We start from the raw sequence: 14,990 nt of genomic DNA on the forward strand, positions 1-14,990 counted from the left end.
GCTCCTATAATCCCAGCTACTCCAGAGGCTAAGGCAGGTGAATCACTTGAACCCAGGCGGCAGAGATTGCAGTGAGCCGAGATCACACCACTGTACTCTAGCTTGGGCAACAGAGCAAAATTCCGTCTCAAAAAAAAAACAAAAAACAAAAAAACAAACAAACAAAAAACACTTTCTCTGTGATTTCATCATATTCAAGTATCCCTAAAAATCATCTCGAGTCTTTCCCAGTAGTATAGTTACAGATTTGAGAAACTGTGCTTGATAAATGAATGTACCCTCTAATTTCTTCATTTGAAGAGAGGAATTCTTATCTATTCTGCCTTCTGGAAGAGATGACCTATGAGGTTTACCTCTAACCCCAAAATTATTGAAAATAAAATTATTATATGTATGTGCACCTATGTGTATTCACCATAAAAAATATACATACAATTAATATTTTAAGATATATGATTCCAACTATACAACACTCTAGAAAAAGCAAAACTACGGAGTCAGTTAAAAGGTCAGTGGTGGCCACAGGTTGGAAAGAGGGAGGGATGAATAGGCAGAGCCCAGAGGATTTTTGGGTTTGTGAAACTACTCCCTATGATACTATAAAGGCAGGTACACATCATTATGTATTTGTCCAAACCCATGGAATGTACAACACCAAGAGTGGGCCCTAAGGTGAACTATGGACTCTGGGTGATGATGATGTGTCAGTGTAGGCTCATCAACTGCAAAAAATGTTCCACTCTGGTACAGGATGTCCATGGTGGGGGTGGCTGTGCATGTGGTGGGGAGAAGCTATAGGGGAAATCTTGGTATGTTCTGCACAACTTTGCTGTGAAACTAAAACTGCTCTAAAAAATGAAGCCTTTTTGTTTTGTTTGGATATGGGGTCTCAATCTATCACCCAGGCTGGAGTGCTGCAGTGCGAACATAGCTCACTGCAGCCTCAAACTCCTGGGCTCATGCAATCCTCCTGCCTCGGCATCCCGAGCAGCTGGGACCACAGGCATGCACCACCATGCTGGGCTAATTTTTTTATTTTTATTTTTAGTTTCAGTTCAGATGAGGTTTTGCCATGTTGTCCAGGCTGGTCTGGAACTCCTGAGCTCAAGCAATCCTCCTGCCTTGGCCTCCCAAAGTACAGGGATTACAGGCTGAGCCACTGTGCCCAGCCAGGTTTTTTGTTGTTGTTATGGTTTTTTGAGACGGAGTCTCACTCTGTCACTCAGGCTGGAGTGCACTGGCACGATCTCGGCTCACTGCAACCTCCACCTCCCAGGTTCAAGCAATTCTCGTGTCTCAGCCTCCCAAGTAGTTGGGATTACATGTGCCTGCCACCACGCCTGAGTAATTTTTGTAGTTTTAGCAGAGAAGGGTTTTAACATGTTGGCCAGGCTGGTCTCAAACTCCTGATCTCAGGTGATCTGCCTGCCTCAGCCTCCCAAACTGCTGGGATTACAGGCGTGAGCCACCATGCCCAGCTGAGCCAAGTATTTTTAAAAATTATTTATTTACTTATTTTGAGACAGGGTCTCACTCTGTTACCCAGGCTGGAGTGCAGTGGAGTGACCATAGCTCACTACAACATTGACCTCCCAAGCTGGAGTGATCCTCCCACCTTGGCCTTCCAAAGTGCTGAGATTATACACATGAGCCACTATTCCTACCCTAAAGTTTATTTTAAAATATTTTTAAAGTATCCGTGTGTGTGTGTGTGTGTGTGTGTGTGTGTGTGTGTGTGTGTACACATTCTCCCTCCCTCAACCTTTTTTTTTTTTTTTTTAGGTTTTCGGAGTGACAGAGTCTCACTATGTTGCCCAGGCTGGTCTTGAACTCCTGGGCTCAAGCAATCCTCCAGCTCTTGGCCTCCCAAATTGTTAGGATTAAGGTGTGAGCCACCACACCCAGCCCATTTTTGTTTAACTGTGTCTATTCCTGTAGCTTTCAGATTTTTTATTTATATTTTATTTTTTGAAACAGAGTCTCACTCTGTCACCCAGGCTGGGGTGCAGTGGCGCGATCTTGGCTCACTGCAAACTCCGCCTCTCAGGTTCAAGTGACTCTCCTGCCTCAGCCTCCCGAGTAGCTGAGATGACAGGTGCCCACCAACACACCTGGCTAATTTTTGTATTTTAGTACAGACAGGGTTTCACCATGTTGGCCAGGCTGCTCTTGAACTCCTGGCCTCAAATGATCCACCCACCTCGGCCTCCCAAAGTGCTAGGATTACAGGCATGAGCCACCACGCTTGGCCTCAGATTTTTTCTTGACTCTTCTGAATGAGTAGAAAAATCTATAAAATCCTTTTGGAAAGTCATCTTAAGATGTGTACTCCTGTATTCACTTGTATTTTAAGAGTCTAAAAACCCAACATCTAATGGGACTTTTCTTTCTCACTCAGCTTTTATCACAATGAAATTTCACCCAGTTGACCATAAATCATCTCTTAATGGACTTGCAAAAAGTTAAGGAGAAATAGATCATTTAAAAGTGGATGAAGGCCGGGCGCGGTGGCTCACGCCTGTAATCCCAGCACTTTGGGAGGCAGAGGCGGGCGGATCACGAGGTCAGGAGATCGAGACCATCCCGGCTAAAACGGTGAAACCCCGTCTCTACTAAAAATACAAAAAATTAGCCGGGCGTAGTGGCGGGCACCTGTAGTCCCAGCTACTTGGGAGGCTGAGGCAGGAGAATGGCGTGAACCCGGGAGGCGGAGCTTGCAGTGAGCCGAGATCCCGCCACTGCACTCCAGCCTGGGCGACAGAGCGAGACTCCGTCTCAAAAAAAAAAAAAAAAAAAAAAAAAAAAAAAAAAAAGTGGATGAAGGACACCTTTTCCTCCCACCTCCCAGCCTGCCCCACCGCAGTCTCAGAAGTAAATGTCGAAGATGGTGAGGCTGTGACACCAGAATTTAGTGAGGATCTCAGCATGAGAATTAGTGCTCAGTCCATGATGTCCATGCTCCACCAAGAACTCAGAACAAAAAATTGCCCCAAGGAAAGAAGAAAAGGGTGAATTTTATGTTATCAGCAAAAACCTTTTGCTCAAATCCATTCCTTGCACCTCAAACAGATTGGCTGTTACCCAATCTTGCACTTACCATCATAGCTTGCAAAAATATGATTGCACAGGATAAGCACAATTTCTTATATATTCACTTAGGTATGTTGATCTTTACACGTAACTTCTTTTGGAAACTGATTATAGATGCCTATATGACCTAAGAATTACCCTTGAGAAATGTCAACATACAACATACATTGTCTGCAGGTCAAAATATCTGTCCACTCACATACTGTAACCATGTTTATAAAGTTCCCTTCCTAATATGCTGTGTGTTAGATCATGGGCACACAAACTGATACACCTGGATTTCCCAGTTCCACCAAAAGGCTTCACTGAAACTGACTTCTATTCACCATGCAAATGTACTCCCTTCAAAATCAACATAAAACCGGATATCCGGGAGAGATTTGGGAGTGGGGGAAAAACAAACATAAATACCAGCTCCAACTGAGACAGAGGTTGTAAAAATTAATGAGAATAATTGTTGTGAATTCTTGCTTTTGAAAAAAATTTTTTAAAACCCTCACGAGGACCAAAAATCTTAATTATGTCTCTCTATTAAGGGTTCATTTCCTGGTCTGAACCAGAAAGCTCATACCTCATAAATATAGACTCCTTACACAATGATTTAAGCAGGAGGAAAATGCCTTTTAATGGCAAAGTTAAGTTAATATCTGGGGATAGACATTGCTTGCATACACAGCCATTGTTGCAAGAACAGGGAAATGAAATGCCCACGTGACCTTTTTTTAACACCTAAATATTTCTAGGGATTGCACTGGGAGCTGCTGACAACTGCAGTGAAAACTTTACAAAAACGTGTTTCACAGAATGAACGTCGCTGGGGAAGATTTGAGTTTTTAAATATCTTTTTTAAGCTGTCAACCATCTGGGGAAATAAGTCCCAAATCCAGCCCGAGATCACAGCTGGGCTGAGGAAATGTGTCTCGTCATTAGGGGCCCAGTGGTATATGGGTATGTGATTGCAGCCTAAGAAATGAACCATGTAGCCTACCTACCTCCACCTGGTACCTACATCCAAATAGAGACAGATCATTCTGAAGGCACTGGGCCCTTTGACCATAAAAACGGTGGCCCTTATTTTTCCAAATTGTCTTGGCAATTTAATCACATGCATTGCTTTTCTTTTCCCTGCTCATTTATCCAAGGCAAAACGCTAGACAAATAGTCCTTGAATTGATAACATGATCAGGGAATGAGCCAACTAAACCACAAAGACTAATATTTGCAGTTGTTTTTCAACCACAGGAATAAGAACTTATTTAAATTCCCAGTCTTTCAGATTCTAAACTAGCCAGGAAGTTAGAATGAGTAAACAAAGAGTTTTCCGAAGTCTGTGTTTTGGATGGAGTCGCCCTGTTAATAAACTGATCTGCTAAGTAGTCAATCAATGGTCCATCAATCATTACTAATGCTCTGTGCTAGCTCTCTGCCAGGTCCCACATGACACACTTGCCGGGAATTATCTCATTGAATCTTCACAACAACACTATGAGGTGAGTTCTCTTATTATCCCCATTTTACAGGTGGGGAAATGGAGTTAAGTCATTTGCCCAAAGTCAGATAGGTTTGAACCCAAGCAGTCAGCTTCCACAGTCCTCCACCTTAACCCTATGCGATGGTGAGCTCAGCTGGCTTCTACGCATGAAGTCAGAAGTCTCAACACCCAGTCCAGGTGGGACAATAAAGTAGCAAGACTGAGTCCACAAATCACATGCAACCCTGGCCCGCTTATTTAAATCACACATCATATATCCACGTGGGAAATGTTTGCAGGGGCCCTGCACTTGACTGGGAAAGTGCACAGTTTTGGATTTGCTCCTGAAAAAGAAAATAGGTGTCTTTGGTGCTCTAAAGGAAGAAGTGGGGGAGGGTAACAGAAAGTTGTCTCCCATGAAATTTCTCTCCCGGATGTCAAGGAATCTGTCAGGCTGGCTAAACAGAACATTATGCACAGCTCAACTGGGCTCCCTGACTCAATCAATACAGAAAAAAAAGCAATTATTGTGTGTGAACACTTAGTGTGGCCGTGAAATACGCATATATCCAAATGCGTATTTGGAGACACACATTCTTAGACCTGTGAGCATTCAGACACACGATTCCCTGGATTGCGCTAAAAAAAAAAAAAAAAAAAAAATCACACATACACACCCCATTGGGCAGGCAGGCATTCATGCACATCAATCACTAAATACGTGTATTGGGGAAGAAATTTTTTAAATAGCAATGTAAAGGGTGTTGGGCATATTCACAAATGGCTGCAGTGACAGTTTCACAGGTATACATATATATACACATGAAGCTTATCTAGTTGTCTGTTTCAAATATGGCAGTTTATTAGATGACAATTATGCCTCAATAAGGCTGTCAACAGAAAGAGGGAGAGAGGGAGTGAGTTTTCCCACATCTATCCACACCTGATGAGTCTTAAGAACATAACTACACAGAATTTAGGGTGTTTCTTCCAAAGGACCTGAGAATTCAGATGGTTTTTTAAGCCGGTCACTTTTATATGTCTACCCTTTCCTATCCTCCTGTATGAACCTGGGCTTTCTTGGGGTAGAGGGGGAAAAGATCTCATATATTTTTGGACCCCAGTCTGGTCTGAGAGCATGTAAGTATATACATATATAGGAAGAATTGAGCTTCCTTATTGCTATTTTTTTTTTCCTGTGACCGTCACCGCAAAGCTAAACACAGGTTTACAGCAGCCATTGAGGGAAACAGGTTTCAAGGAGACAGACTCAAATTGGCCTGAAATAGTTTTGCATCTTTCAGGGCATTCGACCCTCGGTTTTGCTCTTGCTGGTTCAACAGGTGGAAGGATACTCGGAAAAATCCTCCTACCCATTTAAAAAGGAATGGTGTCTTGAGGGGAATGAGTTTTCTTTCCGAGGGCAGGAAGCTCTCTCTCGACCTGGGTTCCCAGACAGGCTTTGTGGCCTGGAAAGGACTGTCTATCACAGCTTGGCCTGTTCACAGACAATCTGGATTTGGAGATTAGCCACAGCATTTTGGAACAGTCCCGGCCTCAGTTGGGGTATTCTCTGCCAAGCCAGCCTGCACTGGAATGACCTTCGAGGGGTGAGGGGAGGATTTGGGGTGCTAAGCCTTCCTCTCATCCTTCTCCGGCCTCTCCTGTCCAGTCCCCAGCTCCTGCAGTTCCCCCTCCACCCCAGCCTTGCTGGTGGGGACTGTAGCTAAGAAAAGGGAGGGGCACACCATCTCCACATCCATCTAGGTGACCTGCCCTCACAGATCCCATATGGACCCCCCTCCCACTTTGCCCTTCCAGAGCCTTCTAAGCCCAAATCACTGCTTAATACTCCTAACAGTCTACAACCGCACGAGGGCAGGGGCCCCTCCCCCAGCACCTATTGCTCGCCTCTCCAGATTCTAGAACTTTTCATACCAAGGCTTAGAACATTAAATCCCTCCTGCCACCCACAATAAAATGAATCCACATGCACTCGGGTATCTAAGGAACAGAGGTGAATCCTGACAAGTCGAGACAAACTTTCTCCTGAGGAAAAAGAGAAGATCCTCCCCCACCCTCCAACCTGCCGCTATAGGCAGCCTGCTCCAAAGTCATTGTCAAGCTTTGAAATGCCAAAACCAGTGCCTGGATTTTGAACCTCATGGGGTCTGACTTTCACACAATCCATGCGACAGCATACCGCCCCTACACCAAACTGCAGCCACCTTCTCCCAAGCAATGCAGGTCTGCCTCCCCTCACCAAGCTGTGGTTCTGCAGGCTCTTTGTCTAAGTCCAGCTTGGGAGTGTTATCCCAAGCTGCTGGTGGTGCAGGTTGCTCTGTTTTCATTTTAACAAGGCAAACCTTTCCCAAGAATGTGGTCTGGAGTCAGTGATTTCTGAAACAATTAGGGAAGCATCAGGAAAGTCCAATCCTAAGGATCCCGGCAACTTTGCCACCTGTGCTGTTGCCAGTTGAGTGGCAAAATTGGGTGCAGTGGCTCATGCCTGTAATACCAACGCTTTGGAAAACCAATGTGGGAGGATCACTTGAGGCCAGGAGTTCAAGACCAGTCCTGGCAACATAGAGAGACCCCGTCTTTACAAAAAACAAAAGTTAAAAATTGGCTGAGCATAATGATGGTGTGTGCCTATAGTCCCAGCTACTCCAGAGGCTGAGGCAAGAGGATCTCTTGAGCCTGGGAAGTCAAGGCTGCAGTGAGCCATGATTGTGCCACTGCACTCCAGCCTGGGTGACAGACAGAGTGAGACCCTGTCTCGGAGTGAAAAATATTAAAAAGGCAGAGAGGAGAAAACTGACCCCAGCAGAAACAGTTGCCCAGAAATGAAATGGCAGCACCAGAGCCATTAAGCAACCTTTCTTCCCACTAGGCATTTCATAAGGTCAGTGGGATGCCTTCTTGTGGTATTTGAGTGTGTGGCCCATCTATGGTTTGACAAGTTTGTTTCTAACTGGTGTGGGTGCATATGTGTGGTGGTGACTGTCAAGCCAAGCTCGTGGATATAGTAAAAACAGCTGAAACTCTTAGGCTGCAGCTTTGTCCCCACCCCAGCACCCTGGGGTCGAAGTTGGTGACTGCTGCCATTCAGAGGAGCAAAGTTCCAGCAGGAAAACCTTGCAGATTCATGCAAAAGAAAGAGCAGACGGCCCCAGGCACTGGTTCCTGGGCTTCAGGCTTACCTTGTGGTTCTGGTAGGAAGTCACTGCTATAAACGCAGTCTCAGGAAAGACGTGAGTGCAGAACGCTGTATTTTTTGAGCCAAATCCATTATTTTCATCCGCTTTCACGATGTGTAATCTAGGCTGGTATTTGTGCATGGAATTTAGAATAATCTAAAAATAATAAAGAAAATGAGATTGTAAGAAAATCAAAACTCCCTTTGTCTCCAGATAAAACCCTGCTCCCCGCCCTCTAAATTCGCCTTGTTATATCGGCTCTCGAAAAATAGATATTTTTCTTCTGTTTTGAAAAGGGGCCAGGGATTTCATTAAAAAGAAACATTTCAAAAATAACAATTTCCAACCGAAAAAGCCAGGGTAATATTCCAGGAATCTACCCAAGGCACACAGAGCAGTAAATCAGAATTCTTAATAAAGTTTGCTTAATAAATTAACTCCCTGCATAGGGCACTTCCCACCCCCAACGGGAGCTGAGCAAGTCTGGATCGAGGAATCCGCGTCTGGAGGGAAGCCTCAAGGGCACTTTTGGATTGACAGGTGGTGTAGGGGCACGGGGACAAACAAACAACAAACATAGAAATAACCCCCACTCCCCAAATCTCTAAGGGATGCAAGAGAAGATATCAAGTGTTTGGAAAACTGAAATAAGTAAAAAAAAAAATCACCAGTTCTCTGCACAGCCTTTTTCTGAGGCTTAGGGTGGGTGATCAGACCTCAAATCTGGGGCCTTTGTTTGGAGAACAAGCAAAGCAGAGTTCGTGAAAAGAGAAGATATTTGGGGGTCACGGGTGATCTGCCCTCCAAGGATGTCGGCTCATAAGGTGTGGGGAGGAAGCACCACCCACACCCCTCAAAGAAGGGGCTGGTTGCCTTGGAAACTCCCTTTCTCCAGCTTTATCACGTTTCAGGATCCACAACCAGAATTATCTCCACGCTTGGCCCCAGACAGAACGGCTACATCTGCTTTTTCGGGAATATTCTCTTTCTACTTCCTATCTTCCCCATATTTAGGGGTGTTCCCAGGGACAAGAGGGGTCCTAACTGCTGTAGTTGTGCTGTAATTTTTACAACCACCATTATCATTAGGAAGAGGAGGAGGAGGAGGACTTCCAGGCTGCACGTTCTTGCTGGAGCCAGGGCTAGTCACAGATGAGCATCCTCACCAATAAAACTGGGTTTGTTGTTCTGATGACGCTAGTATTTACCAGAACGCTCTGACACATCCCCACCGAACTTGCGAATCGCCGCGTTTAACAGCCTGAAAATCTGGCCTGCTTTTTCCCGGGAACTGCGGAGGTTGTCTCTGTGACTTTGATTATTTGCATTGATGACCCTGGGGCAAGATTCTTGGACCAACCCTGGAGTCCGGCCCCGATCGAGTGGAGGTAGTTGGGGGAGGCGAGCCGCGGCCGGGGGCGGGGGAGGGACGAGGAACTCGCGGGCCCCGCGGCTGCCCGACCCCGGGCCGCGCGTCTCTAATCTCCGGCCGCCGTGGCCCGGCCGCCTCCCCGGCCGATAGCGACGCCGACCGGGGCGGCGTGGCGACAGAGAGACGCAGCGGGGCCCCGCTGGCCGCCACAGTCCCCGGCCGGCGGGGCCATCGGCCCGGCTTAGCCAAATTGCTTTGACGGCTGGGGACAGTGTGGAGACATCAGCGCGAGGGCGATCTAATGGCTCCTAATTTCATTAGGCCGGCTCTGAATTAAAAGTCCGGAGTCTCGGGTGGGAATGCCTGGCTTCTAGGCAGTTCTGAGCAGCTCCGAGCCCCTCTCCCCAGCTGGGAACGTCCTGAAGCTGGCAGGGATGCCAGGAATTTGGTGGTGGGGTTGTGCACCTTCCGCAGGCATCCGCCCTAGAGAGACCCCAAAGGCACTCCAGAGGAGCAGAGAAAAAGCTAGGAGCTGAAATGAGCCTGGGGAACCGTCCCACTTCCCAGCGTCAAGGACCACGCAGGACCCCACCCAAGGGTCCCATCCTCCAGAAGGAGCCAGCCCAGAGATGCATGTGGAACCTTTAGAAATGGCTCCGGTTTTCCCTGGTGCTGGTAAGGCATCTGCTGGGGACTGGCAGATACACAGCCAGGGCGGGTCAGCCAATGCCTACACAAGCTGAATTTACAGAGCACCTCCTGGGAAGCCCAGCAAGAAGGACTCGTGGGCAAAACACCCGGGTTTAACAGAGTGGCTCTGCATTTGCCTGGGAATGCCTTCCGAGCGCTCCAAGCAGGCTGCACAGAGAGTGAATGATTCTTTTTCCTCTCCACCCACGTGCTGAGAGCTGCATTTACCCATCAGTGTGGACCCCTGAGATCCTCTTCCCATCCCAGATCCTGGGGACTTCAGTGCTTCAGCCCCAAGGCCTCAAAGGAGCAGATTTCTCGTTTGGACCTTCATAAACCATCCTCCCCCGCCCCCTTGACCAAATTCATTCCCTCCCAGTCCCCTCCTTTCCCTGAAATCGGCGACCATGCGCCTATCTGTTGCTCCTCTTTGAAGCTACAACCTTCCAGGACAGGGAACTCCTTTTGTAATTAGAGAGACCTAGCCGCAAATCTCTGCTCCCAAATACAAGCTGTAGGACCTTGACAAGTCACCCCCGTCCCCTGGACTCTCCTGTGCAAAAGCTATGCCTCCCGTCCGCCCCCTAGGCTGCCGTGAGAATCAAATGCCCAAGACGAATGTACCCACTTGTATGGCAGAATCATCCAGCTAAAAGTTCTAAACGTGAATACAGAATCCGTGTTCTGTTCTAGTAATTAATTATCTTCTACGATGAGATTTGGGGACATTTTTTCAAAAATCAGTGTTTTGTGTTTTGTTTTTCTTTGGGGAAGAGGGGTGATGACCCTACTAAGAATCCACTAAAACCTACACATTCTTTTGGGTGGTGAGCAGGCTGCACATTCAATACCCTGCATTCAGTTTCAGGAAATTCACCAGTCCCCTCTCTTGGGTCCAATCCAGACTCCAAGTTTAGGACCCTGGTTTACATTCGCCTGCTCTGGGCACAGTGTGGAAAGGGAGAAAGCTGGTTGTTGGAAAAAAAACAGATCTCCCCGGGAGTATCAAGCTAAAAAGTGGCACTGGCACCATAGTTCTCTTATGAGTTCATTTCCCATCTGGAAAAGAGGGGGCAGGTGAGCTGGGCTCTCCCTCTCCCCTGGAACATCCCAAAATTAAGGCAGGATTGAGAAGTGGGGAGGGAAGGTATATGGCTTTCATTGTGGTCCAGCCTCTGTGCAGTCTATACTGGGTATCCACTGGGCTAGGAGGTCCATATTTTCTGCAAGACTGAAACACAGCCCTCCACTCCTAACCACAGATCGAATTCACAGACTCTCCAGGCCTGGAATGAGCAGCTTCAATCATTCCTCCATCCCTAGGCAAAGGGAGAGGGTTTGGGCCCTAACGGCAAGGATGCAGCCCCAGACCAGGTGAGCCGGGGGCCATATCTCCAGCCACCAAGGAACGACAGACCCAGATCTGGGGAGTGTGGATCACCGGGAGGACTGCAGAGGGGCAGATGTCTGTGTAGGAGAGTAGTGGAGACAGAGGATGAAATAGTAGGAAGAAAAAGAAAGCAAAGGGAAAGCAAGTGAGAAGGTGAAAGAAGAGAAAGGAATGAGAGAATTGAGACGGAGGGGAGGAAAAGGAAGAGGAAGGAAGTCCAGATCAAGAAGGTAGAGGCAGAAAGCGACGAAAGTGGGGGAAAATGGAGGAAAGAAAAGGAGAAATGTAGGCACACAGAGCCAAGAAGGGAGAGAAACCCAGTGAGAAGAAGGGAGAGAGGACAAGAGGGAGACAAGGCGGGGAATCCAGGCCACGGTACTCACATGCCCAAATGGGTCCAGGTGGTTGTTGGTGAGCTTGAGTTTCTGGAAGGAGACGAGCTGCCTCATCCAATGCGCCCCGGTGGCGGGGGAGTCTGGGTGCACGTACAGGCGGCCAGGCATGGCGGGCTCAGCTTTGCCCGTCACAGACCTAGATGAAGGAGAGGTGTACTAGAGGCCTGGCTCAGAGTCTGGAGGTAGCGCACTGCACCGAAGCGTGCTTCAGTTCACGCACCAGGTGAGGGTTGTTGAGTAGTAGCTGGGAATAATCTGGAGGCTCTCCCGTCTCCCTTAGGTATCTGCAATCCCAGCTGCCCCAGAATACTTTGTGCCTGCGCCCAGGCAAGCCCCTGGCCCAGCCCTTTCTTCTTACAGCCTCTCGCATCCCACAAAAAAGTGGCGGGTTCTGGAGGTCTGGACGTGCAAAAAGCCTTGAAAATTCCTTGAGGGCTTTCAACGGGGGTTTCATCGTCAGGCCCCTGCACTGCTGGCAGCCATGGGAACGATTCTACCCAAGAAATGGGCCTCTCCTAACTGTTTAACTCGAATACCACGAGTCGATTTTGCAATTTCATAAAAATGCATGTTCAAAGCAGGTAACTCATAAAAAATAACTGTAAATGGTTTTATGCCCCCAGAAATACCTCCAGCACTTGGTAACAATACCCTTTGTAAAAATCCACAACCTGTGGGTGCAGCAATAGACACAGGCACCTCACTTCCTCTGAGCCTCCGCTTTCTCATCTGGAAAACCGGAGCTAATTGTTGTAGTTTCTTTGTCTGAGAATGGTTAGTAAAAAGCAATGGGATAGGCGGACAGACGCCTTTAGCACACAGTAGGAACTAAAAAAAAAAAAAAAGTTCACTGATACAACTTTTCAACTTTTTGGGAGAAGGTTCCACTTTTCTCTCTCCCCGCTCCACCTGCCACCCCAGTGCCTACCATTTATTATCTGCGAATTTGTATCTGTGATCGTCGGCAGGTACAATGTCCATGAGAAGAATGTACTTCGTTTTGGGATTAAGGCCCGTCACCTTCACTTTGTAACTGGGAAACATCCGCCTAAGAGAGAGGGACGGAGGGAGAGAGGGGGGCGGGAATTAATGCCAGTATTTTAAGGCAGCCTCCATCCATTTTAAGGGAAAAAGCAATTCCTGGAGAAACGTGGAAGCGGAAACTAGCCCCGTTCCGCTCTCCGCAAGATCCATCCCGGGTTTCCCTTGAAGTTATAGGGAGGAGAAAGGCGAAGGGAGGAGGTAACAGCAGGCGGGCAACTGTAGGTAACCTAAGCGGAAAACAAACCAGGACGCATGCGCCTCTAGAGAACGGGTTTTGAAGATGCTTCAAAGGGACCTCCATTTCAACTCTTGCTAACCGCCCTTTTCGGAGCCAGACACCTATTATTAATATTTGTGGGGAGAGGAGGCTTATTAGGTACAATGCTAGGCGCTGATCCTAGAGGATCTGTCTAGCCAGGTGCTTCCGCCGATCCTCGCGTTGCTAAGGTGTCACGTGTACACAAGGTGTGTGCGCCCCAGAGATGCACACGCGTGGGTGCGCCCAGGCTTCCCGACCTTGCTTTGGTCCTCTGCCGCTGGAGGAAGGGGAAGGCCGCGGTTCCCAGTATAACTCGGTTAATGACCTCTGACATGGGTCTCTAGCAGGAGTTTATTCCTGAATGCCCCCACAACTTCTCCAAGGCCCCTGAAACTCTTCCTCGGAGAGTCGAAATTCCTTGGCCTTCAGCAAAGAAATTCCAGACCCTTCCAGATCTGGTTTCAGAAAAAGCTGAGGCCTGAACTAAGATTCAGTCGTTATCAAGCCGATGGCCCGGAACTGTGCCGTCTCTGCTGCCTTTCTGCGCCCTGGCGCACTCCAAATTTCCCTCCACCTTCTGAGGAACATGCCCCAGAAAGCAAAGATTCTCAAGGCTGGCCCGGGGCGAAAAGACAAGTTGGCAGATCTCGGCTCACTCAGCGATGGCGGGAACGGTCGAATGGAGGCCTCTCCCTCCGAGCCCCGGAGCCAAAGCCTCGCAGTGTTTATCAGCCTGAGCGAGCGCGCCCGGAGGCGGAGGCGCAGAAGACTTCGCAGGCCTTTTATAGTTAAATCCTCACGGCTCAGGCTCGGGGGGAAAGAGGGACTCGGACGTGTCTTTCCTTCCTGGGGGAATAGGAAGAGGACTGCAGTTCGTTGATATAAACAGAACGCGCCTCCTAGTTCACTCAGGCCTTGGGCCGAGCGGGGAGCAGACTTTGTTTAATTTTAAATAATAATAAATGTCACTGTTGTCAGTTTATTGAGGGAGGCTTCGGCTGGAGAACGGGGGCGGGGGGCGTCTGGAAAGGCGGCTCCACCCTCCCCCTTCACACACTCGGTGGCTTGGGCCTACCGTTCGCCTGCTCCACACGCCTGCTCGGGGCATCCTCTGGCTTTTTGCTTTGCGGGACGCGGAAGACCCGTCCAGCACGGGTAGGGATGTGGCCAGGACGTCCCCAGGCCTGGGCGCGCGCGTGCACATGCTCACACACTCACACTGACATACAGAGCTGCACCACTCTCCTTCCTCCTCCCCCAGAAGTCTAGCATTTCTAGCTAAAACTCTGCGAGCTTTTAAGGGGAACTCCGGGGCGAGTGTCTTGGCGAAGCTGCCGTGTTTATTGGTGTCTGTATATAGAGCCCGGCCGAGCCCCGGTTCAGTTTTAAAGGCTTCGCCTGCTTTCTATAAACAATGAAAGAGGTAGCGAATACATCCAACGATTCAGAGTTTGACAATCGGGTGGGACCCTGGAGCCACTCCAAGGTCAGGGAGGGTGGGAATGAGGATTGGAGTAAAGATAAAGTCCAAGATCCCTGAAACCCAAAAACCTTCTAGACTCTGTCTTCTCTGGGTCTCTGTTTTCTGTTTTCTCCTTTCCCTCTTCTCTCTTTCCCTCATTACGAATCCAGATAGCACGGCCTCCCAAGCTCTTTATTCTTTCTATATGTGAGGTGGGAGAAATGCCCAGTTTCCGGGCTTGAACTTCTGGAGTATTTCCTCCATCCTAGGAGAGATCAATGGAGGAATCTCCTTGTGCCTCTTTAACCAGGATCTATCTTTCGCTCTCTCTCTCCTCTCCTCTCCTTTCTCTTCTTTCTCTATATTCCCTCTCCTTTTGCCCCTTTCCTTCCTTCTTCTCTTCCAAGCCACCTTTTCTTCTTCACCTCTCCCACAATTTCTCCTCGTCCCTCTCTCTACACAACAAACCATCTCACCTTCCAGCCTTGGTTATGATCATTTCCGTGCCCACTTCGTGGAATTTTAGCCACAGTTCTCTTTCATGGAGAAACACTTTGATTCCCTCCATGCCCTGCAAGAAGGAGAAAAAAGTCACACTAACAAGCCCTGGCAGTAGT

The 14,990-nt window shown here is 48.2% G+C and overlaps 1 protein-coding gene across 4 annotated transcripts in view; it reads right to left on the bottom strand.

Annotated features, from left to right (window-relative positions):
- TBX5 (T-box transcription factor 5) overlaps window positions 1-14,990 on the bottom strand; it is a 54,532-nt gene that overhangs the window by 33,066 nt on the left and 6,476 nt on the right. For all 4 annotated transcript variants that reach the window (NM_080717.4, XM_017019912.2, NM_181486.4 and 1 more), the window contains 4 exons: window positions 14,850-14,944; window positions 12,537-12,656; window positions 11,597-11,744; window positions 7,765-7,917 (listed from right to left, as the gene is read on the bottom strand). In NM_080717.4, coding sequence (NP_542448.1) covers window positions 7,765-7,917; window positions 11,597-11,744; window positions 12,537-12,656; window positions 14,850-14,941 — 513 coding nt within the window. In that variant the 5' untranslated portion in view covers window positions 14,942-14,944. The remainder of the gene's footprint in view (window positions 1-7,764; window positions 7,918-11,596; window positions 11,745-12,536; window positions 12,657-14,849; window positions 14,945-14,990) is intronic.

The sequence above is a fragment of the Homo sapiens genome, chromosome 12 (assembly GCF_000001405.40).
Source record: "Homo sapiens chromosome 12, GRCh38.p14 Primary Assembly".
NCBI classification, from domain to species: Eukaryota; Metazoa; Chordata; class Mammalia; order Primates; family Hominidae; genus Homo; species Homo sapiens.